Source organism: Homo sapiens, chromosome 6 (genome assembly GCF_000001405.40).
Source record: "Homo sapiens chromosome 6, GRCh38.p14 Primary Assembly".
NCBI classification, from domain to species: domain Eukaryota; kingdom Metazoa; phylum Chordata; class Mammalia; order Primates; family Hominidae; genus Homo; species Homo sapiens.
In genome coordinates this window covers 46,966,885-46,991,938 of record NC_000006.12, presented here as the reverse complement: position 1 = coordinate 46,991,938, position 25,054 = coordinate 46,966,885, and the positions used below count along the sequence as shown (strand labels likewise).

General features: G+C 38.9%; 1 long non-coding RNA gene across 1 annotated transcript, besides 1 other annotated feature; it reads left to right on the top strand.

Annotated features, from left to right (window-relative positions):
* Positions 7,038 to 7,539: an enhancer, noted in NCBI's record as "H3K27ac hESC enhancer chr6:46952137-46952638 (GRCh37/hg19 assembly coordinates)". NCBI's record gives its function as "activates a minimal SCP1, AML or CMV promoter by ChIP-STARR-seq in primed H9 embryonic stem cells {active_cell/tissue: H9 hESC(primed)}" and the evidence as "EXISTENCE:reporter gene assay evidence [ECO:0000049][PMID:30033119]".
* On the top strand, positions 7,779 to 9,826 carry LOC124901489 (uncharacterized). The gene is made up of 2 exons (XR_007059922.1): positions 7,779 to 7,964; positions 9,376 to 9,826. It is a non-coding gene; the product is annotated as an uncharacterized LOC124901489 (long non-coding RNA).
* The last annotated feature ends 15,228 nt before the right edge of the window (positions 9,827 to 25,054 follow it).

Sequence of the window (25,054 nt, the reverse complement as noted above, 5' to 3'; positions counted from 1 at the left end):
TTAGGATTGTCTCGGCAATGTGGGCTCATTTTGGTTCCACATGAACTTTAAAGAAGTTTTTTCCAATTCTGTGAAGAAAGTCATTGGTAGCTTGATGGGGATGGCATTGAATCTATAAATTACCTTGGGCAGTATGGCCATTTTCACGATATTCATTCTTCCTATCCATTAGCATGGAATGCTCTTCCAGTTGTTTGTGTCCTCTTTTATTTCATTGAGCAGTGGTTTGTAGTTCTCCTTGAAGAGGTCCTTCACGTCCCTTGTAAGTTGGATTCCTAGGTATTTTATTCTCTTTGCAGCAATTGTGAATGGGAGTTCACTCGTGATTTGGCTCTCTGTTTTCTGTTAATGGTGTATAGGAATGCTTGTGATTTTTGCACATTGATTTTGTATCCTGAGATTTTGCTGAAGTTGCTTATCAGCTTAAGGAGATTTTTGGCTGAGACGATGGGGTTTTCTAAATATACAATCATGTCATCTGCAAACAGGGACAATTTGACTTCCTCTTTTCCTAATTGAATACATTTTACTTTTTTCTCTTGCCTGATTGCCCTGGCCAGAATTTCCAATACTACGTTGAATAGGAGGGGTGAGAGAGGGCATCCTTGTCTTGTGCCGGTTTTCAAAGGGAATGCTTCCAGTTTTTGCCCATTCAGTATGATATTGGCTGTGGGTTTGTCATAAATAGCTCTTATTATTTTGAGATACATTCTGTCAATACCTAGCCATCTTGCGACAACCTCAAGTGGTTCTTCTGTGGAAAGACAATCTGCATTTTATAAGAAGGCAGTAGGCCTATACTGTACTTACCCTTATCAAACTTCAGGGGGCAGTCCAGACCAAGAAATAAATCCTGGACAACTTCCTTAAACCTTAAATACACCTGAAATTCACTCTTGAATTTGAGGGTGCAAAAGGCGTTTTAATCTCACCACTCTAATTAAGGGCAATCTGCATTGTTGCTGCTTTGGTTTGTATAATAAAGGAGATTAGGGATCTGTAACTGTAATAGCTCTGTTTCCTGATGGCAAACAATGCCTCTGTTTCCTGGATTTATGCCCAAGTGTGCTGGTAAACACTGAAGACTGCTTTAAGCAAAGCGGGAAGTAGCCATGGGTGTCACGGAATTTTTATCTGCTAGAAAAACAGTGTTTTTGTTTATTATTATTATTATTTGAGTCGTATCAATGGGTTATACCTTGGATACCTTGGGCAAAACAGAGTTAATTCAAATATGTGGTTTGAAAAATAGATTAGAAATATTCTGTGCTTTTTGGATTCATTTCTTACTTTGGGAAGGAATAGTCTGGAAAATTTTATATAGGTTTGTCAGCCTAGAGCCCCACTTCCGTGGATGAATTACATAAAACTGTTTACAGATTCCACTTTGTACCCAAGGTCTTAGGGTGGAGGGAACAAAATAAAACAAACAAACATAAAACAGTGACTTGAATGCAGTACAGAGATTTGCGAGGTCCCCAGGGATTGGCCTGGAACGCTCAGGGCTGCTTTGCAGTTAACTCCTCAGCCTTCACCACTGTGGCGTGGGCTCACCTTAGCAAGCTCCCCTCCCTTGTTCGGAAAGCCTCCCCACTGACCTCACCTCAGGAAGCAGCAACAGATTATATTTTATCCATAGATGTGTATCCCTTTTGGAGAGAAATTGTACACTGGGGCTGTCTTTTAACAGAATAACATTCTTAACACCACGCCATGAGGTAATTTTTCCATATCCTTTATCTGAGAGTCTCCTGCTAACCTGGGCAAAGTGGAGGAGGGGTGAGACTGGAGAAAAGAACTAAAAGAGGTGATGGGGAAGAGTCCCCCTAGTTCACTGATTACCATGAATTCTCCCATAGGGGGTCCACATTTCACCTGGCTTGATCTTAACCAAATGTGCCCAGTTGTATTTCCTTGATTGGCTCCTGTGGGGGAATGGGGAGATTTTTCTGTGGGACAGGGAGTCTTTGGGAGACTTGGGGTCTAGCTTCTTCCTGTTGTCTCCTTGTATTTCAGTTTCCCATCTGTAAAACCACAGATCCACATTCATCTGATAAGCTTAAAGGTCTCTTCTATCTCTGACTTTCTATAATTCTGGGTCTCTTCATGAGTATCACGCTGGGAGAAGAGAAATTTATCACTGAAGAATAGCAGCCCAAATGGGTTTGGCAAGACTTTATCTTGCTGGGTAGAAATTGTAGATAAAACATTGCCAACAGCTACATTATGCCAACCAAATGGGAGGCAACGCCCCTTTGGAATTCTGACCTGATGTTCGAAACCAGAGCAAAGGAGTTCCTCAGTGTGATGTGCTGCCAAGGGACACATTGGATTTGTGGATAAGGTTTCCTAGTTCTTAGATCTCAGCCATATCCCTGAACACGGATGGGCAAGGCAGCTTTGAATTCCATGACAACATGCTGCTGGGCACTGCCAAGGATAATTCTTCACAGCATGAAAGCTTTGCCTGGCACTGGTGATAATGTGACTCTCTCTTCCTGAGGTAGTCTGGGCAGGAGAGCCAGCCCTATCTGTCTTCTACTTCACCACATTGTGGGAAATGTTATGCAGCCACCCCTTCCCCAACAACTAATTTAAAAAGGGTGAAATAAAAAAGTCACATTCGTGGAATCACTTCTATCATCTATGCTGATAATTGTTTACATATGAAAGTCTGCAACAATATGAATTTCTCATAGCCTGCTTTCTCTTAGACCAGAGAATGGTTCTCAGGAGTATCCCCAGCGGGCAGCATCAGTGTCACCTAGAACTTATTGGAAATGCCAATTCTTGGACTTCTCCCCAGACCTTCTGAATTAGAAACTCCAGAGCAGAGCCCCAGGGACCTGTTATTTTAGCAAGCTCTTTGGTGACTCTGGTGCACACTCAAATTTGGGAACCACTGAGATAGGGAATGTTAGAGACCAAGGGCTGGAGGTTAGGATCAGCAGAATTGTGAAGCTGGAGAGTAGGGGATGGGGGTGAGAACTTGTTTCCATTTTATTTTCTATTAGCAACACTTCTGTGAGCATCAGTAAGCAAGAAAGTCTTGGTAATGATGTGAGCAGAGAAGTGATTAATGCTGGGTGGTAGTATTCTGGAAAATGTAATAGAACTGTTAAAAAGAAAGAAATGGGTTTGAGGCCTGCTTCCAACACTTACTAACCATATTAACTTGGTTACATTACCAAAGTTTGGTTACTTCATCTGTAAAGTTATTGTTGAGAGTACATGAGAGAAGCCTGAAAGTTCTTAGGATTCCGGTATTTAGTAAGCATTCAACAAATGGTGGCTGTTATTTACATTAATGACACTAATGTTAATAATAAAACATGAATTCTATAGAACATCATTACTACTGAAAAGCAATGTGCATAGAGGAAAACACAGTCTTTGGGGACAATAGACAGAGTTCAAACCTCAATTCTGTTACTGACCACCTTGGACAGGCCATCTTATTCCTTTTTATTTGTAAAATGAGAAAGATGACATTTACCTTGCAGGGTTCTTTGGAAACCTAAATGGAGGTAAAGTTAAAGCAGCTTGTTTGGTGCCTGTAATATGATAGGCAATCAGTAATTTTCTTTTTACTTCCTCTTTTTCAGAAGAAAAAATAAGCCCAAATTTGTAAAAGTATGGTCAGTGGGCCATGAATGTTTCAGGCAAAACATTCCTTTAAGGGTATTTTATCCAGATGGCTTAGGCAATGCCTGCTCAATTTTACAGAAGAAGCATACAAAAGGCCAACAGGCATATGAAAAACTGTTCATTATCAGCAATCATTAGGAAAATGGCAATCAATACCACAATGAGATATCATTGGACCCTAGTTAAAATGGCTATTATTAAAAAGACAGCAAGTAACAAATACTGGTGAGGATGCTGAAAAAAGGGAATGTCAGTGCACTGTTGGTAGGAAGACAAATTAGTAGAGCCACTCTGGAAAACAGTATGGAAGTTCCTCAAAAAATTTCAAATAAATCTACTATATGATCCAGAAGAATGAAATTCTGCCATTTGCAGGGATATGGATGGAACTATAGAACATTATATCAAGCAAAACATGCCAGGCACAGAAAGAAAAAGATTGCATGTTCTCACTCATATATAAAAAAGTTAATCTCATGGAGGTGGAGAGGAATGATGGCTACCAGAGATTGGGAAGGGGGAAGACAGATGAAGAAAGGTTAGTTAATGTGCACAAAAATATAGTTAGATACAAAAAATGAAAGTTCTAGTGTTTGATAGCACAACAAGGTGATTGTTAACAGTAATTTATTGTATATTTCAAAACAGCTAGACAAGAAGATTTGAAATGTTCCCAAAAAATAGAAATTATAAATGCCGGAGGTGATGAATATCCCAATTACCCTGATGGAATCATTACACATTATATGAATGTATCAAAATATCAGATGCACACCATAAATATGTATAACTATTGTGTATCAATAAAAAAAGAAAATGTCTTTTAAAGGTAAGGGGAAGGACTACAGGGGCCTATGAAGAAGAAAGTGACCCTTGACAAGTAGAAAGAAAAATAGCTCAGGGAAAATAAGGCTTTTTAACAGAATGATACTGAAGAACTGTAAACCCAAATATGCTTGTAATTATTTTTACCTTGTTAATATAAAATAGGCTTTTAAAATATATCAAAAAACCATCAGTATTACTTTTACTTAGGACATTCCCAAGTCTACAGCACTTTCAGTGTCCTAAATTGCAATCTCATACTAGCCCATCTGTCCTTCCGCCTTTTATTTTTCACTTTAGGGAAGACCAATCACCAGCCTCAGGTATCTTTTTGTGGCCTCTCTTCTGTTCTCCACTCTGCCTCCCCCAAATGTATATGCACTTTCCTTATCCTGGTGTTGCAGGTGCTGAGAGGGGTTGTGTATTACAAAAATGTACATTTGATTGCTTAAATGAACCAAAGTTTACATTTGAGTGTAAGCATAAGATGTATAGGAGGTGTGACTATGAGGTAATGAGGTTGACTCCTTGCTTTCCAAAGAGGAATTTTTACTTCTATTTGTTTGTTTATTTATTTATTTATTTACTTACTTACTTGAGGAGGTTCAGTGGAGTGGCCAGAATTACAGAATCGGGATGCCACGTTTACATTATAGCTCTCACACTTAGCCGTGCATCCTCTGGTAAGTAATTTAGTCTCTCCAAAACATCAGTTACCAAACTGTAAAATTAAAACAGTAATGGTAACTGCCTACAGGGTTGTTATCAGAATCAAATGAAATAGTATATTTAGCAAAATTCCTGGAACATAGTACGTGCCTACTATATGTTAGCTCATATTATTAGCTTTTATTTTACTGGAAATGTAAAAATTTTTATAAGACAGAAAGTATGCATTTCTTTCCTCATTATACTTGACTTTCCAGTTCCCTGTGCACCCACTTGTCCCCCACCAAAACATAATCACTGCTAAAAGTTTGGAATATGTTGTTCAAGACTTCATCCTTCCACATAAGTAGGATTCCACTTTCCACATGTATGTATTTTGCCTTCTAGACATATTTAATGCTTATTTCAAAAGCTCACAAAAGAAATTTGGCAATTTCCTGTGAGAACTGAGCCAGGTTTAAAATGCAGAAGAAAATAGATCTCATAACTTTATTTTTTATTTTTTATAATTATCCAGTCCAAAATGTCATTTTGTTTTTGTTTGGAGACAGGGTCTCCCTCTGTCACCCAGGCTGGAGTGCATTGACACAATCATGGTTCACTGAAGCCTCTGCCTCCCAGGCTCAAGCGATCCTCCCTCCTCAGCTTCCTGAGTAGCTGGGATTACAAGCATGAATCACTCTGCCTGGCTAAATTTAAATTTTTTTTTTTTTTTTTTTTTTTTTGTAGAGACAGGTCTCACTGTATTTCCTAGGCTGGTCTCAAACTCCTGGGCTCAAGTGATCCTCCTGCATTGGCCCCCTAAAGTGTTGGGATTACAGGCGTGAGCCACCACACTCGGCTGACCTCATGACTTTAGGTCTATCTCTAGAGCTCTGTATTCAGAGCTTTCAAGTTACACCCAATTTTTCAAAACAAAAACTACCTTGATGTACATGGTTAATTATACCCATGGGTCTGGATCAATTTCATTTTCTCAAAAAATTTACACTTCTCTCAAAGATGCAGATGTTGTTATCATAATAGATATTTAGAAGATTGTGAGGCAAATCCTGAGGGTACCTCCAAGAGGAGTATCAACTATGCCCCCACTATACCCTCCCAGTCCCGGCCACTCCATCCACCTCCACGCTCCCTGCCAGCCCAGGAGTGCACTGTCAAGCCCCAGATCAAAGTGTAACTCTGGGCCTCTCCCTCCAGGGCAGCCAATAAACCCCAACTTCACGTGCAACAATGTACAGTAGGCACAGATATGGGCAAGGAGTAACTTTGTTCAAGATTAGACATGGCCAGCAACTTCCACGACCAAGAGTTGAGACTTTGTGACCAAATTCTAGCTTTTCCCTTCTGAATGCTTCTTCTCGTTACATAAAAGTACATTACAGCATGTGGGTCCTACATATGCTCCATAACCTTACAACATTCCCAGGAGGAGGAGTCCAGGAGTCGGGGTCCATGTGTGTCATTTTTAGACACAACTCTGGCTCCTGGTTGAATATTTGCCTGGGTACAGCTACACTTTTCCCGTGCCACCACTGGTGCAGGGACTTGTCCTTTGTACTTCTCCACAGGTGGGAGAAGGAATAGCCTGGAATCCTCGCTTCCTAAGGATGGGTCCTTGGTCTCTCAGGAAGTTATTCATCCTTGGCATGCTCGTCCATCCAGAGATTGTGGAAATGAGGCTGGGGAAGCAAGGACTGGAGCTTCTGATCCCTCAAAAGAATGCACAGCCTGCGAAAATATTGGCCATGGAGTTCATGGCTGAGGGTTCAATAGCTGGGCCTCCTACATTCTTCACAGGCTGTGCAGCCTTTCGAGGGGTCAGAAGCTCCAAACTTAACTCCCATAAGCCTGCCACAGGCAAGCCTGCCAAGATGGATGAATAACTTCCCCAGAGCCAAAGGTCACACCCTCAGGAAGCCAGGCTTCCAGGTTGCATTTATTTTTATTATTTTATTTTATTTTATTTTATTTTTTGAGACGGAGTTTCGCTCTGTCGCCCAGGCTGGAGTGCAGCTGCGCAATCTCGGCTCACTGCAAGCTCCGCCTCCCTGGTTCAAGCCATTCTCCTGCCTCAGCCTCCCGAGTAGCTGGGACTACAGGCTCCTGCCACTACGCGCCGCTAATTTTTTTTGTATTTTTAGTAGAGACGGGGTTTCACCGCGTTAGCCAGGATGGTCTCGATCTCTTGACCTCGTGATCCGCCCGCCTCGGCCTCCCAAAGTGCTGGGATTACAGGCGTGAGCCACCGCACCTGGCTGCAGAAATGTGTTCCTTCTCTCTGCAGTGGAAATATACAAAGGGTGGGTCACTTGAGAAGCCCCCAGGAAATTCTTCACTTTCACTCTAAGCTCATCTCTGGGAGAGATGGGGTCAGGGAGACCTTTCCAACAGACAAAAAGAAACAAAAAACCCTTTGTTGGGTGGGGCGTGGTGGCTCACGCCAGCACTTTGGGAGGCCAAGGCAGGCGGATCACCTGAGGTCGGGAGTTCGAGACCAGCCTGGCCAAAATGGCGAAACCCCGTCTCTACTAAAAATACAAAAATTAGCCGGACATGGTGGCGCTCACCTGTAATCTCAGCTCCTTGAGAGAATGAAACAGGAGAATCACTTGAACCTGGGAGGCGGAGTTTGCAGTGAGCCGAGATCATGCCACTGCACTCCAGCCTGGGCGACAGAGCAAGACTCCGTAACAACAGCAAAAACAGCAACAACAAAAACAACAACAAAAACCCTTTGTTGAATGTTGGAAAGCCTGAGGGCAACTGGAGGAGAAACAACATAAAGAGGAACAGATTTCATTTCTATTCCTGCTGCCACTGTGAGTACACTGTGGGGAGGTTACAAAGGTTTTATATCCCTAGAAGGGAAACAAAGTGCAGACACTAAGGATTGCCGTCTGTAAGACACTGGCATCCATCTTCCCCTGAAGGCTTATGAGATCACACAGGAAATAGATGTGCGTATTGGGAAGAATCTCTTTAATTTCTTCTGTTTGTCAAAAGTAAAGCCTCAAGGTGGAAGAGGTGAAAAGCATGAGAGAAAAGTGCCATTTTCAGAAAAAAATGGAAATATCACAGTTTACATATAACCATGAATTTCATGTCCAGTGTTTTAGTGGCTGAGCACTGACATTTCTTGGTAGCATGAAACTAACAGCTTGATAGAAAACATTAACCAAGGTAGAATGTGATCAATACCACAAAGCATCCCTTAGTTCTAGGATAAGAAACAAAACATGATCTTTTTATTTTTATCCTGTGAAATTACATCTCAAGTCCTTATTCTCTTAGTTGGGTATCTCCTCCTTTCAAATATAATCTATTAATCTTGGGACAGATCCATTCTCTGCATTTAGTTGAAACTAAATCAGGGGATTTGACTAGATTTGAAGCCATTTTTCACAACAAGCTCTACCACACATACTCAATTATCAGAGTGCACAGATGAGACAGGCAGAATAAATAATGGGTTTGTTTATAAAGGGCTAAGCACTTTTATGAGCCTTATTAACATTGGTAGTCATGCATACTTTGGAATGAGCAATCAAATTTCATGCTTCTAGGCTTGGGCAGGGAGCAGACTAGCTTACAAAAAGACATTTACCTTCACACACTTCTGAAGGGAAGAGAGCATTCCTTGAGTTTTTTCACCTTTACTCTAATGGGGAAATGGGCTTGTATTTTCAGCAAACACCACTGGAGGCCAGCCCATCCAGGAAAACAAACACAGCACTCACTCTGTTGGTCTCTGAAATGGTTCTGCTTCAGTGTGTATAAGCTGGGCCTCAAACTCAGTCTTAAAAACAATATTTCAAGATTCATTCTTATATTTCACAAAAATCATTTAGGTGCCTACCAAGGGCCAGGCACTGTTCTAGGCATTGGAGATACAGTGGTGAACAAAATGAACAAGGCCGACCAGGTTCCTGCTTTAGGGGACCTGGGTGTCTATCACCCACTATATATTATTCCCATGTGGTCGCAAACCCATCACAGGCCTTAAGCTTGTCTGGCCAGTCTCCTTGCTTTCTTCTAATCTCAGCTATCTTGCAAGGTGTTATTTTTTATTGACTTGGGGTACACAGGCTCCAAGAACAAATAAGTTGATACTCATCTGCTTTTTATGCTCTAGTCCCAAAAGGAAAAGTTATCCCTCACCATGTTATTTCACTCAACTAGCAAAACTACCCAGTCTCTCTTTCACCTTTGCAAACCTCACTGCCCTTCCAGGTTCCAGCGGCACCCTGTATCCTGCATGAAGACAGCCCTGTCTGCTCCTGCTTCCATCAACATCCCTCTCCTCTGAATTTTGTAGTACTCAGATAGTCATCAAGATGTTACAGTGGGGTGCTTACTGCATCATTTTTGTATCTTCTGCTGTTTTTCACCTCTATTAATCTTGTTTCACTAGCTAGATTACGCACTCCTTGCAATAGAAGACTACTTTATTCTTGATGGCAGTTAACTCATTGACACAAGACTCTAATATGAATTGCCTGCATCTGAATTTTTTTTAAGTTAATCTTTTATTTTAGGTTCAGGGTTACATGGGAAGGTTTGTTACACAGGTAAACTCATGTCACGAGGGTCTGTTGTAAAGATTATTTCATCACCCAGGAATGAAGCCCAGCAACCAATAGTTATCTTTTCTGAAATTTTCTAATTAAAAAGCTTTCAGTCATTGAGTTGTGTTTTGAGTCATTCATATACATAGTCATTTAACATATTCTGAGCTCCTATTATGCTCAAAATGGTGTGGTGCCATGGAGGATAGAAAGGAAGTTGGAAACACAATATATGCTCCTGAGGGACTCATGTTTTCCTGAATGAGCAGAGAGAGGCCAAGAAACAATTCAAGAAATTTGAAATAAAAAATAACTCCATGTTGTAATTCTTGATTTCCGTTACCAGAAATTGCTTCTGTGTGTGTGTGTGTGTGTATGTGTGTGTTTGCATTTACAACTGTGTGTATGATGTGTATTATATTTGTTTATAAGAGAAAAGGTCAACCTTAACCTATTTTAGAGAACTTTTATATTATGCTAAAATTGTCTACAGGAAAGCTAGGTGATTGGATAAAAGCTAAGATTCAGTTAAGTCATCCAGATGTTCAAAATGCAAAGAAGAACCCACTGGAAGGTGGACCTGTGTTTTTCTCAGCACTAACCAACTAACCCATGAACTAGACCCAATGAATAAGTTGTTCACAGATTTTCCCTCTTCATGCAACCTGAAACACAGGCATCACCTTGGTCAAAACAAATTTGCCTTCAATATTATTCATTTATAAATCTGGTTTAAGAAAAAAGTAGCTCTGGATGTAATAGGGAAAATATAGCCAGAGGAAAAGAGGAAAGTAAGGCTCATTCATTTAACATGACTGTATATCCACCTCAACACACCATAATTGAGAGCCACTCACATCTCCCTGTTATTTTTTAAACATATAAATGAGGGCTTTCAAGTAGGTTTTTTGGTATTTTTTCCACTCAATCCTCTCCATTGTTTACCAAGCCCTCTGGACAGGCCCAAATGAGATGCATTTTCTTTCTGGTGGTTGTTTGGTTTGTGAACATGTGCATGTGTGTGTGTTCTTGTGTGTTCCCTGTCTGGCTTGTAGTCAGGGAGATTTCTCCCACACCCCTGGGCTTTGAATAGAGCAGAAAAGGTGGAGCTTATTTTTTAAGTTGGTAATAACAATACTGACTTAAGAAGATATCTAACATTGAGTCAGAAACAGCTGATTTAGATACATGGCATGAGGCTATCATTAGAAATGGAGCCAAAGACAATCTTAGGGGTCCTAGGATCAACTAACATTGGGGGTTGAGACAGATTCTGTGCATGAGAAGAGGCGGGAGTGACATCTTATTTCTCTACGTAGAATATGGTGTTTTGTTTCTACACTTCTACAGTCATTGTTCTGAGTTATCACGGTACTTTTCACTTTGTATGCATGTGTGTGTACTTGTTATTAAACAATATGAATAACATACCTTTATTCAAATTAATCATTTTTATGAAAAATAAACTGATGATTCATATTTTGTTATTGTTTTCTTTGTTTGTTTTGCTCTACAACAATTGGTAAAATCAGAAATGGTGCCAGGTAAATTACTGTGAAATCATTAAAGTGTCGAAAACTTGGAATCATTTAGGTCAATTCATTTTGACACCTGGTCTGCCATTTTAATGTCTTGAATAGCAATGTGGTGTGTCTTTTGAGTTTGAGGATTAAGAGGAAAGCAAAGAGTCAAATTCCAAAATAAAGAGAAGAAAAGAAAAATGATCAGAATTCTGGATCCATAAGGTAGCAGATGTCTAAGCCTCCATCCTAACACCACATTCTAAGATCTGTCTGTAGGATGGATGGTACAGAACCTACAGAGGAAGGAAGATGTACTACAAATGCCTCCACCCTCTATGGCTTCAGCTAGAGTGGCCTTATTGAATTTCTCAGTTTCCAGATTGGAATATGCTGGACCACTTTGGGTTTCTATGGAGGAAAAGGACACTTTTGTCATATATAGTAGCTTATCCTTTACATGTTTCTTTCTGTTACCAGGTTCCAAGCCCATTAAGTGGAAGACCCTATGGCTCTACTCATCTGTATAGCCAGCCCCAGTCTTAGCATAAATACTGTAAGATTTGTTCAATAAATGAAGGAATGAATGAATAAATTTAATAGGCAGAGAAACAGAGAGAATTGTTGCTGAGAAACTGTCTTGTCTCTACAACCGACTTTCCAAGGAGGACTTTCTAAAGAAGACTTCCCTGTTCTTTGACTTTACATGTTGCCAAAGCCTGGCAATATTTAGTGGGACTAAAGGTAATAGGAAGAAAGGAAAAGTCTCTGTTATTCTGTAAAAAAAAAAGATACAGAACCTGAATGGGGAAAAGAAAAAAACACACACACACATATTACGTGGAAACTAAATGTGGGCAATTGAAAAAAATCACTGAAGCAGAAGAATGTAAATATATTATTGGTTAGCTTAAAGACAACACACATACACATACACAAACAATTCAAATTAAATATACACAAGACTATGCTCTACAAATTTCCCCATGTCATAAGTACATTTCAAAACATAATTTTAATGAGCAGCGTGTTATCCCATAATATTATGGTACTATATTTAATTTAACCAATCCCTCATTTGGAGGCTAAACAGTAAATAATTAATCTTACCCAAAGAGAGATCTGGTCATTGCCCTTGGCTACTGAGAGATGATTTCTAGGCCCTTGGAATGTCCTCCCTGACAAAATTATCTTTGTTTTCCTGGGGTTTTGAGCCACGATGAACAGTCCAACAGTGTGATTTATGGAGGGGCTGTGGACCACGTGGTATCCTTTCTACCCCCGGAGGGGCTGGAGACAAAAGTTATCAGTTCAGTCTCTGGAGGGGCTGAAGACTAAAGGTCAGCCTCATAGACAATCAATTGTGTCTACATGATCAAAACCCAATAAAAAACCCAGATTCCCAAGAATCAAGTAGCCTTCTCTGGTTGACAATAATCTGTGCGTATTGTCATGCATCATTGCCAGAGGAGTCACATTCCTCATTCTACTGGGTGAGCACCAATGGAAGTTCTATGCTGGGACTGTTCTTGTATTCTGCCCTGTGTGCATCTTATCTTAGATGATTTTATCCTCTATTCTTTCCATTAGTATAACAGCTTTCAGTGAGTTATGTGATTTATTGAAACTGAGAGTGGTCTTGAGAATCCTGCCACTCTGTAATTGTCATCAAAAATGGGGGTGGTTTTGTGGACCAAACTTCCTCACTTTGTAGGGGCATTAGTGATATTTCCTTTATTCTAAGTCATCATTGACTTTTAAGTGAAACGGGTTTAAAAATTTAGAATGAAGAAAAAGATTACATTAAGTATACATGACTTGTAATATGCATTAGAAAAATTAAGTGAGTTAAAGTGTGACTCTTAAGATTAAGAGATCAAGATAAATTGCTTTGATTTTGTAATGTAAATCATAGAGTAATATAATGTGTGTGTGTCTCTGTGTGTGTGTGTGTGTGTGTGTGTGTGTGTGTGTGTGTATGTATTTTCTTGATCATTTTCTTTCATTAGATTCGTAAAAGTGGGATTAATGGGTTAAAAGTCCTGGTCATCAAGCTTGAAGGATGTGAAGAATTCAGATGTGTAGCCTTAGGGGGAGTGAGGAAATAGCCTTCCAGGTGGGCTGACAAGAACAGGCAAATGCACAGAGGTGGGAAAGCATACGATTTCTGGGCTGAACAAAATAAAAGTTTGGGCAATCAAGTACTCAAGAGGACTAAGAAAGTAATCCCATTTGACAGTTAAATCATCCAGGATGCTTAGCAGTCTGCAAGACAGGAGATATTGAGGCTCTCAGGCCTTCTAAGAGGCTAGTTGTCACTGATCCCCATTCCACAAAGGATCTGAGGGAGCTAGATCTCCTATAAAAGGCTGTGTTTAAAAGTTAATAATGCCAGAGCTTCTAGAGGAAATAGGTAGCAAACAGATGATGTGTCATATGGGCCGAGTCTAGACTCAGAAGCTTTTTTTTTTTTTTTTGAGACGGAGTCTTACTCTGTCGCCCAGGTTGGTGTGCAGTGGCACGATCTTGGTTCACCGCAAGCTCTGCCTCCCAGGTTCATGCCATTCTCCTGCCTCAGCATCCCGAATAGCTGGGACTACAGGCACCTGCCACCATGTCTGGCTAAATTTTTTGTATTTTTTTTTTTAGTAGAGACGGGGTTTCACCCTGTTAGGCAGGATGGTCTCGATCTCCTGACCTCGTGATCCGCCCTCCTCAGCCTCCCAAAGTGCTGGGATTACAAGCGTGAGCCACTGTGCCTGGCCTCAGAGGCTTCTTAATATAAGAATACTTACTACGGCCTCAAACATTTTAAAGTTCTTATGCCAAATTTTTTCTTCTGAAAAATAATGGTAAGAAAATGGTTCTAAAACCTTGTCATGAAAGTATCTTAACACTTTTAGTGGAGACTTCCAGCTAGCTCCAGCTAGCTGTTATGCCAAAGAATAAATGGATGAATGCATAGGTGGAAGCAATTACCCAAATTCTAGGCCTAGGATTAGAGGAACTATATACTGTCTGAAAGTGTGAAGTGTTCAAATATTGTGAGCTTTCCAAGGGTTCTTTTCTAAATAATTTTTGGAAAGATTGATGGAAATTATTGTGTTTTGAGAGAAGGTGCTCAGTGGGCCTAGAAAGAGATGAGAAACAGATGTGTGGCTTTCCAATAGGACGTTGGTCACTGCCATTGCAGCCCAGGACACACTTCTTTCTGAGTGCCCCTATCAAGGACAGCTTCACGGATGTGTGACCTGTGAGTCACAGAGGCTCTCACATTCAGAATGGCCAAGCTTAATGCTCTACTGTCACTGTCTTGAAATTCTGAATAATTTTTAACAAAGGGCCCACATTTTCATTTTGCATTGTGTCCTATAAATTATGCATCAGGTGCTGCCTCCTACTGAGTGATGGATCCTCCAGAGGCTCCTGGAAGAGCAACTGACAAGAGCAACTGAGAAGCTGTCAACATTGGCTAAACTGATGATAAGCGTTTCAAAGTTTATGTAACTCTGAAGAATATAATAAATGGAAATACGTAGCATCTTACCAAAACAGTTTTCTTTATGTCCATTAACGCTTACTTCAAAATCTACTAAGGACTTTTTTTTTAGCCTCTTCTCTGTACTGTCTCTTAATATCTGAGTAATTTTCATTCTGTGGTTATCTAGGTCTGCCTTCTCTTCCCGTTCTTTTTTTTTTTTCCTGAGATAGGGTTCCTCTCTGTTGCCCAGGCTGGAGTTCAGTGGTGTGGTCTTGGCTCACTGCAACCTTGATCTCCCTGGGCCTACCTCAGCCCCTCAAGTAGCTGGGACCACAAGTGCATGTTACCACACTCGGCTAATTTTCATATATTTTTTGTAGAGATGGGGTTTCGCCATGTTGCTCAGGCTGGTCTTAAATTCCTGGACTCAAGAGAACCATCTGCCTCAGCCTCCCAAAGTACTGGGATTACAGGTGTGAGCCACCACACCCAGCCTTGTTTGGGGACTTTTAGTCCTCCAGTGCCACACTGCAAATGATAGGATTTCACTGAACATAATGTCCTCCAGTGCCATACGTGCTGCTGCAAATGATAGGATTTCATTCTTTTTTTTTAATGGTCAAATACAAATAGCATTCCTTTCTATATATATATATACCACATTTTCTTTTTCCATTCATCAATTGATGGGCACTTACTTTGGTTCCATATCTTGGCCATTGTGAATACTGCTGCAATTAACATGGGGGTGCAGGTAACGCTTTGATATACTGATTGTTGCTTTTGATTATAATTCAAAGGATTAAGAAATGATAGGTATATGAGAGCTGGATGCAGAATAAAACTGCATTGTACAAGAAAGCAGCCTAACCTGTGTTTCTGAGTCTGCATGAGTATGACAGTACCATTCAAATACCAGCTTCATCACTTACTAACTGTGTGGCTTTGGGCAAGTATTTAACTTCTCCAAGCCTCAGTTAAAATGTACATATTCACACCCATATTGAAAAGTATTTATGAGCATTAAATAAAATAAGGCAGTCTACATGAAATGTGTATCACAGTGTCTGGTACACAATATATTATAACCATCATAACTGTAATAATTATTGTTAAAAGTACACATGGAGCATGATTTTTTCACTTATGTCCAAAATTACACTATTCTAGGCTGCAGGAAACCTAATATGTTCCACAAAAGCTAAATATGTCTCTCAATCTACTAAAAAAGTAAATAATAAATATAATATCAACAATAGTCAAGTTAGGACTGCCCTGGACAATCCTTATGTTTTCAACAGCAGGCAGCCAGCTCTAAAGTGAAGACTTAGTTCTCTTCGAGTGTGTACTGCCCTATCTTTTCAAACCTCCCTTGGATGAACTCAATTATCGGCAGTGTTATCTTTCTTAAAGCAATTTTGCTTTTCCCAGGCCTTGAAAATTAGCCCTTGCCGATTCAGTAATCACTGTCTTTCTCGCCAACAGTTTGTTTCCAGGACACTTGCTTCGAGGCATCAAAATAAACCAGTTTTAGCAAAAAGTGGCCTGGCCTTCAGTTGATGTCTTCAATTCAAGGCATCGAGCTGTATTGCTGGGCTTAAGGTGGGTGTCAAGGTTTACTTGGACTTTTTATCAAACAGCAGAAGATCCAATCCTTATAATGGGATTTAGAAGTCAACCGTTTATTGTTTTTCTCCTTTTTTAATAAATAGAATTATTCACCCTATCCTTGAAGTATTCCCCTCTCTGCTCTAATCAATCTATTTAGAATTAGATAAATGAGAGGGTTGATATTGGATGTCTTCCTCATTCTCAAGAGTCTGTTGCCATCCCATTGTCTTTGAACTTATGTCCAAAGTTCAAATGATGAGTAAAATGTCTAAATTATTCCGCATCTTTTATTTTTCTCCTATTTGAAATCATGCCCAAATTATCCCACTTATGTTTTTTCCCTTTCCACTTTAATGATGCACATCTTTGCCATAATGCCTGATAATCATTTGGATCTGCATGTACGTGTAAATAGAGCAAAAAATAAAATACAGTCAAGATTACCCTTGACTAATCCCATAATAATACATAGATAGCTGTGTAAATGCCCATATTTACAGGTCAGATTGGAGACTGACATGACACACTGTCACTCAATAAGCCTGTGAGGGCCAGTGTTTTCTCAAGGTTGGAAATGATGGCTGTCCTAGTTGGTATCAGATGAGGTAGATGACTTGCATTTAAGGCCTATGTGACATGAGTGATGTTTATCTTTTAATCCTAGAAACACACTCGGTGTGTCAAGTCACCCTTAGTGCAAGAGGAACATGGGAACTGAACCCATCAGATGAAATAGCTGAGTCAAGTCTCTCTTCTCCAGACCTTACTCCTAATATTTGTGGAAATTGGGACAAGAATACAAATAAGGGCCACATAACACATCTATAAACTCTGAAGCTATAAATCAAGTGAACAAACTGTTAAAAGATATTTAAGAGTTCTTTTTTGCCTAATAGACTTTTATATTGGCCTGAATGGCCATATTTAAATGGGAAATTTTCAGATTCCTTGGAGTTCTGTGTCAGAATGAAGCAGTGCAGAGAAGTCACCTTCCAGCCACACCCCTCCTCCTAGGGCCAATTTCTCACACTCTGTATAACTTACCCCAGCAATCCAGGACCCTGAAACTCCCTGGCAAAGATCCCAATCTAGTTTTTTGGGCCTGTGTAGGCTTTTTATTCTGGAATGGACTGTACCGTTGTTGTGTGTACCCTTAACCCTAAGGGATGACCATGGTGTGGTTGTTTCCAGGTGTTTGGGTAGATTTTAGACATGCTGACCTAGGTGTCCATACCCCTATGCATGAGGCCTCTTATGGTGCAGGAAGGGGCCAGGAGTGGGCAGGCTGCCCTGCTCAGATCTAGAGATGGTCTTGCCCATCTCTGACTTACTGGGAAGCCTATGTTGATTATATTGGGTGGCAGCAGAATCCCCTGAGCTTTTGAAAATATTTTTGTTCTCTTTATTCCTGTGCTGATGGTGTATAACTGAATCAGTTTACCTTTAATAGTTAAATGTGTTGTGGTTACCCATCTGGCAAGCTGAGGGCACAACAAGTGTGTGTGCATGAAGTGTGAGGTGCAGGGAGCCTTCCAAAGTCTGATGGGGACAGCTGAGGATCTCTGCTTACCTCCAGGTTCTGTGCTAATGTCTTCCATTCACACCTCTGGAGGATGCCTTGGTTAGTGAGTGCAGGCATCTGTGATTCTTTCCTGGTGTTAAACAACAAGCAGGATCTTCCTCTTATTTTCCTTGTCTCAGGAGATGTCTCCATCATTGATGTCCTCAGTCCGTCCACCATCTTGGGCATCATCTTCAATCACTTCCTCTCACCACACTGTCTCCTGACCGTCTCCTAACACATTCCTTTTACCTCCTAAATATTTCTCACATGGGCCCCCTCCTGTTTATTCTCACTTCAACCACCAGTTCAGAGAAGGACCTTGGAGATGAAAGTAGGAAGTCCAGTATAGTTTAAGCCAAAGGCTCTCAAAGCAAGGTGATGACTGGAAGTTCCCAAGGTGGTCAAGGACTAAAGAACAGTTCAAGGTTATAACACTCCTCCTTTGTTCTATTGCCCTTTACAGGTGTGTTATACTGTTGTTTCTGCAAATATTTTGTATTATGTCAGAACTTTATGTGGTGGAGTCGGGCATAAATCACACAAGATAATAACTGACTGTAGACATTTAATCTTTTTACTTAATATTTAAAATTATATACCATACTCTTTGAAAGCTCCCTTCCCTCAAACTAAGGGAAAATAGCTTCATATAAGAAAATAGCTTTCTATTCCAAATGTTTACCAAGTTCTCAATGTACCTATTAATCTACTCTTTTATAACTTACCTTTCTGAGACTAATATGTAGGCAAAAAATCAATTTTGTGTTGGTCACAGTTATATTTCCTGATGAGCTGGGTAAATATTTGCCTTACTGTTTCAGAGGAATAGGAACAAAGTGTTGAAATACATGTATCATTTGCCTTCGGTATTAATTGGCCTGGTAAATTTCAAAATGTTTGCTTTCTTGAGGTAGGGACTTCTCAGTTTCCTTATTTGATCCACAACTTATCTGGAGATATCTGTACTTTGGGGGGCCAATAAAAACATTGTAGAAAAAATCGACCATGTTAAAATACAAGTGATATTTCTGAAGAGTGAATTAATTTTCCTCCATTAACAACATGTCATATTTACAGCTCTACAAGGAGATTAGCTATAGGGAGAAAGATTACTTCCACTTTTCCCAGGCTCAAGCTTTGTGATTTTCTTTCTTCTTCTAGAGCACAGAATTTCCCTCAGCATAGAAGCAAGCAGGCTGCATAGCCAAATATTTTAGAATATTCTCTTTTAAACAAACAGGAACAAACGTGCTTAAAGAGAGTTCTCCTATTTGATGGTGGTGCCAGTTGAGAGTTTTCAAACAGAAGTTTTGAAAACAAATGTATTTCACAACCTCCCACCCCTGCAAAGCAGTAGTCATTCCTCTTCCTACAGATGTTTTCACTCTCATGAAAATTGACAGGTCTGAATCAGCATTTAAATTGTGACCCCAGTCTGTGTTCTTTAGAAGTCATTTTCTCCCCAAACTGGAGATTCTAATTGTCAATGTCATCAGGCATAACTGTGTATATGAATATGAGCATCAGGAAGTAGAAATAGAAGTTCTCTATACATCCAAAATTTTGGATTCTAGTCCAGTTTCTGTCCTTAGTGAGTGATGTCTGTTAAAATTAGTTATCTCCATTTTCTGGTATCCAGTTTCCTCACTTATAAAACAAGAGAGTTGAACTAGATAAAGCCTATACTGCACACATGCTGTCTCTTCCAATCCCACATCCGTGGCAGACATAGCTAATCCACCACCACTGATTTCTTTCCCATTTAGGCTTGACTTGGAATTACAAGCCATAATTAAATGCTATAGGCAGCTGCTACCAATTGAGTAGACTTGGTGTGCTTAAGACGTAACGATTTATTACTCCAAGGCTAGATAGTATCTAAGGGGTCTTTCTAGTCTGGAATCCTATCTTTTGTGATAACAGAGGAAATCTTTGGAAAATTTTGAGTGTGTTCTATGGGTTAATTCAAGGAATAGTACCCAGAGTGCAGGCAATCAAAACATGCTGGCTCAATGGGTAGATGAATAGAATTATCATTTTTCTATTTATTAATCTATTTTGCCCCCTGAAAATTAGCTTAATATCTGACTCAATTAACTCATGGATGCTCTGAGCAACATATGCATATGAAAATTCTTTGGGAGCTCTTAAATTAGATTGAATTAAAAAATATTACTGTTATATTGCAAATGCCCCTAAATTTGGAGAACTGAGGAGCCTTTCAGGGTGAATTAGTAATATTTTATTTCAGCTTCTTTTCTTTTTTGTAATGCTGAAGGAAAGACAACTTAAAGTCATTTTTTTGTTTTCCGATGCTTCGTAACCTGTAGAGCCGCCCTAATGCATTAGACGAGAAAGAGTGTGCCCACTGACCTGGAATTTGAATTGTTACTCATACAATGGGGAACTCTTAAGAGAATGCCTTTAATTCCTCAGGGCAAGTTCTATCAGTCATAAATTTTGTGATATTCGAGATGAAATACAAATTTTAGTGAAAAATTCAGTCTGAATAAACATTAAAATTGATTTATTTAGAAGAGGAGGCTTCCATAAATCGCTCTTTACTTAAATTAAGCAAATGTGTAGTGTTACTGTCTCTGAACATAGTGTCATATTAAGGATACAGGAAAGACAAAGAATAGAGAGACCAAGACTTTAACTTCAAGAGGCTCACAGTCTAGTAAAGGAAATAAAAGAAATAATGAGACAACAACAAAACAAGAACATTTTTCCAGAGAAGAGTAGGAGACTCAAACAGGGAGATATTAATTGGTTGGGAGGATCAGGTAAAGCTTCACAGAAAAGGAAACGACTGAGCTTGACTTTGGAGGGTGAATAGGGTATGCAGGAATGAAAATCAAGCTGAGATTTTGGAGAATAAATGTGGTACTAGTGAGTGTTTTGACTTGAAAGAAGAGAGAAGTCCATTTAATTTAGAAGCCCATTTAAAAGTATAGCTGTGAAGTATTGATGGCCCAAACTAGAGACATGTTAGAAACTGAAAATTGGAGATCAGATTAGGAGAGGCATTGCTGAGGTCAGATTGTCAGGACGTGATAACTGGCACCCCATCACGAGGAAAAAGAGAGGAATGAGTCAAAGACTGCACTGCATCTCTCGCCCAAGAGACTAGGGGAATGGCTATGCTATTAGTGGAGGGGTTGAACAAAGAAGGTGGCTTCATTAACACGTTTGGAATAGGCTAAAATTCCAGCACCTTGGGCAATATATTTTAGAAATAGAACTTTTGTTTTTTGTAAATAAATAGATCCACCACTGCAAAGGCTTATAACTTTTGCCTCATAAATTTTGCCTTAGTCCTTCTTGATAATTCGAATAATATGATAAAATTGCTTTTGTCTTCTGAATACATTTATTTACAAATATAAATATCAGACTCGATCTCAAGACATCAAATTAAAGATGCCCATTAAAAAATTTTAATTTGCAGGATCTCTGCACGGAAGTTTTCTGGTTTTTTTTTTTTTTCCCCTTGGAGATTGAGTCTTGCTCTGTCACCCAAGCTGGAGTGCAGTGGCACTATCTTGGCTCACTGTAACCTCTTGCCTCTTGCATTCAAGGGACTCTCCTGCCTCATTCTCCCAAGTAGCTGGGATTACAGGTGCTCGCCACCACACCTGGCTAATTTTTGTATTTTTAGTAGAGACGAGGTTTCACAATGTTGGCCAGGCTGGTCTTGAACTCCTGACCTAAAGTGATCCTCCCACCTCAGTCCCCCAAAATGCTGGGATTATAGGTGTGAGCCATCATGCCCAGTCTGGATGTTTTAACAAAGCAAATAAAACTTCAACTAATAAATTGGTTTTTATATTTTAAATGAAAGACAAGATGTTTTGTTACTACTGGTATATATTTTAAAATCTATTTTCAGGATCAGTGTTGGCCAATGAAGATACCTGTGAATGGAAACTCTTAGACTGTCAATAAGAAGAGCATACAAGATGCATTAAAAAAAAAAAAAAGCAAATAGTGATTTTTATTAGAACTGAAAAAAAGCTGAATAAATGAAAAACAGTCAATAGTATTTAAACACTGAAATAGAACATTGGGCATTAGGTGAGATTTTTTTCAAAAGAATATTATTGTGTGTAGTATGTACCTAAGCATAATGATGTTTTCTGTGGCAATAGCAGAACGATATTTACAGAAAACAATGGAAAATTTCTAGGTTAAGTAGAAATGCTTTTGAAATTTGATGTTAAAATGGCCAAACACATAAGAGAGATCAAAAGAAAGTGAAATAAATGATCACTATCTAGAATGAAGAATTTTAAAAGAAATTGTTAATAATGAGTAATAAAATAAGAATATTTAATACATAAAAATTGTAAAGGTCAACTAGATTCTACCAGTGATAAAAGACACATTATACACCAACTTTTATCATGCAAAGTATTCAAAACTACAAGATGAAGAAACAAGGAAGTTAAAAATTCCAAATGTTTCATTAGTTTTTACATCTGTTGTAAAAAGTAAGAATTTTCACTTTTATGAAAAGATGAAGAAACAACTTTCAATTTTAGGCATTGATTTGAAAGTTTGTTAACAATTGTGCTCAGGTGGTTGTTGAAGAAAAAACCAACAAGCCAGATGACTCAAAATAGTTTGAATTTGTTACCAGGAGACAAATGCTTAACTTCTTTATAACTACGGTATTCTGTGGAACACTTCCAAGCCTTATGTATGATATTGTCTTTATCTGCCTAAAGATGAAAAACTAAAGAAACTAATATCAATTTTGGCCACCCAATCATCCTTTGACACATCATGGCAATGCTGACTGAATGCTGTTAAGGCAATTAGATTTAATTCAGGCAAGATATCAGATATATTGAAGAGTTAAGTAAAACAATAGAGGAGCTTCAAATAAACAGGAAATTATGATCTTCAACAGAAAATCAAATTAATTTTGAACATGAGTGGCTCATGTTTTTTTGTTATTTGGAATGCATTTTTTTTTGACAAAATCTTACAAAAATAAAAATCTGAGTTGTGCCATTTTACTTATAAAAAGGTTACAAATGTTTTTAATTTTTAAAACATTTTTCTAAATCAAAAGAAAGTGCATGTGATATGTGCAATGAAATAACATTCCAATAAAATATAAGTTAATTAGAACAAGAAAAAAAAATATGTACATGGATAAAAAGGAGATCCACACACAAATAATCCTGAAAGAAATTTTGGTAAGGATTGTTTTCTGGTCATTGTAGATCAACGTATGCTGTCTATTGAAGAGAAATTTGAACAAATGCTGCAATATAGTGCTATTTTCAGTTTTCTTTATACTATTCCAGCTTCAAAAAACTTGAAAGACATTTTAAAAATATTACCATGCATCTAAACTTTGCTTTAAGAGATAGTTAAAATCACGATATGTGATAACAATTATATTGTAAATCACGGTATTTTTCATGATAATGCTAATTTATCACAAGTGATTCTATTATAATATGTACACAAGATATGTAACATTTATGGCTATTTCTGAGTTTACTGTTTTAGAGCATTTACTGACGATTCTATAATTGTTACAATTTCTTGTGTCATTATAATTCTATAATTATAATTATAATTCTGTAATGACACAAGAAAGGCTTTTTAAATTGGCATTCTATCAACAGAACAAGATCTTGATTATAATAGCATTATTAGTAATTTTGTTAAAATTCAAGCAAGAAAAATAAATTTTACAAATGAATGTATAGTTTATAAATTATGTCTGTCTTCAGTTTACTAATCATCCAAACTTCCCTGGTTCATTAAGAGAACAAGCAGAAATGGTCAATTAATAATCACTGTAAGCCATCTTTGATATTTTGCCAATTTATAAGTCATTTAGTTAACCACTGCTTAACACATACCTTTTGATATTGTCATGATGGTATATTTGTCAAGGTAGGTAGTTGTAACATATTTTAACAGTTTATTAATACAATGGTCAGTTTTATAAGTGAAATTGGCTTGTCTATAGTCCACAGTTATTCAATCAAAACCTAATTGAGGGTTTGCTTTGAAAGTAACTTGTAGCTGTCATTTACTCTATATTCAGTTGATTAAGTAAAGATGATTACATAGATAATATGACTGGGCCTGATTCTATCAGCTGAAAGTTCTTTAGAGCAGAACTGAGGTTTTCTGAGGAAGAAGAATTTGCCTTGGACTGCAGGGTCAGGTTGTGCCCAGGAATTCAGCCTGCCCTTCCTGACTGCCTGCTATTAGATTTTAAACTTGCCTAGGGTCTCAGTTCATTTGTGCTGCTATAGCAGAATACCTGAGACTGAGTAATTTATAAATAATAGAAATTTATTTCTTGCCATTCCAGAGGCTGAGATGTCTAAGATCAAAGTGCAGGCAGATTCACTGTCTGGTGAGGGTCTCATCTGATGGTGCCTTACATGCTCTATCTTCAGATGGTGGAAAAGGTGCAAGGGCAAAAGGGCCTGGCTAGTTCCCTCTAGCCATTTTATAAGGCACTAAACCCATCCAAGAGGGCCCTACCTAATTGTGTCCTAAAGCCTCCATCTCTTAACACTCTTCCATTTGGGATTTAGTTTCAACATGAATTTTGGAGGGCGCACAAACATTCAAACCAAGCAGCCTAGCCAGCCCCCACAACTACATACGCCAATTCTTTGAAATAAATCTATTAATGTATATCTTCTACTGGTTCTGTTTCTCTGGTGGAACTCTGACTGACACAGTTAGCTTAATTTATAATTGTTAGATATTAAGACATAGGGTATGTGTCTCTCCATGTGTACTTTCCCCGGTATGTTTCTGGGGCAGGCCTGGAGCCAAGAAACTTCTCCCTCTAAGATGTCTCCCTGAAATTTGACCTCAAATATTTTCCTTTTTTCTTTCCTTACCATCTCCTTTAAGTATCTGTTCTTCCCCCCCCCACCCACCCCCCCCCCCCCCCGCCCACTGGTAGGATATTGACCATTGCATTGAAAATCAGCATACCTTAAGCTCTTTTCTGGCCTCCATTTATCAGCTCATAAGCTAATGACTTCTTGTCCATCCACACACTTCTATTTCTTTTATCTCTCATCCTACACTTGTAGATTAGGTACTTCTTAGGGACTTCTTTCTCACCCATTACTCTCTGCGTGGTAGGTGCCGGGTGCCTGCTGGTCTCATTTCC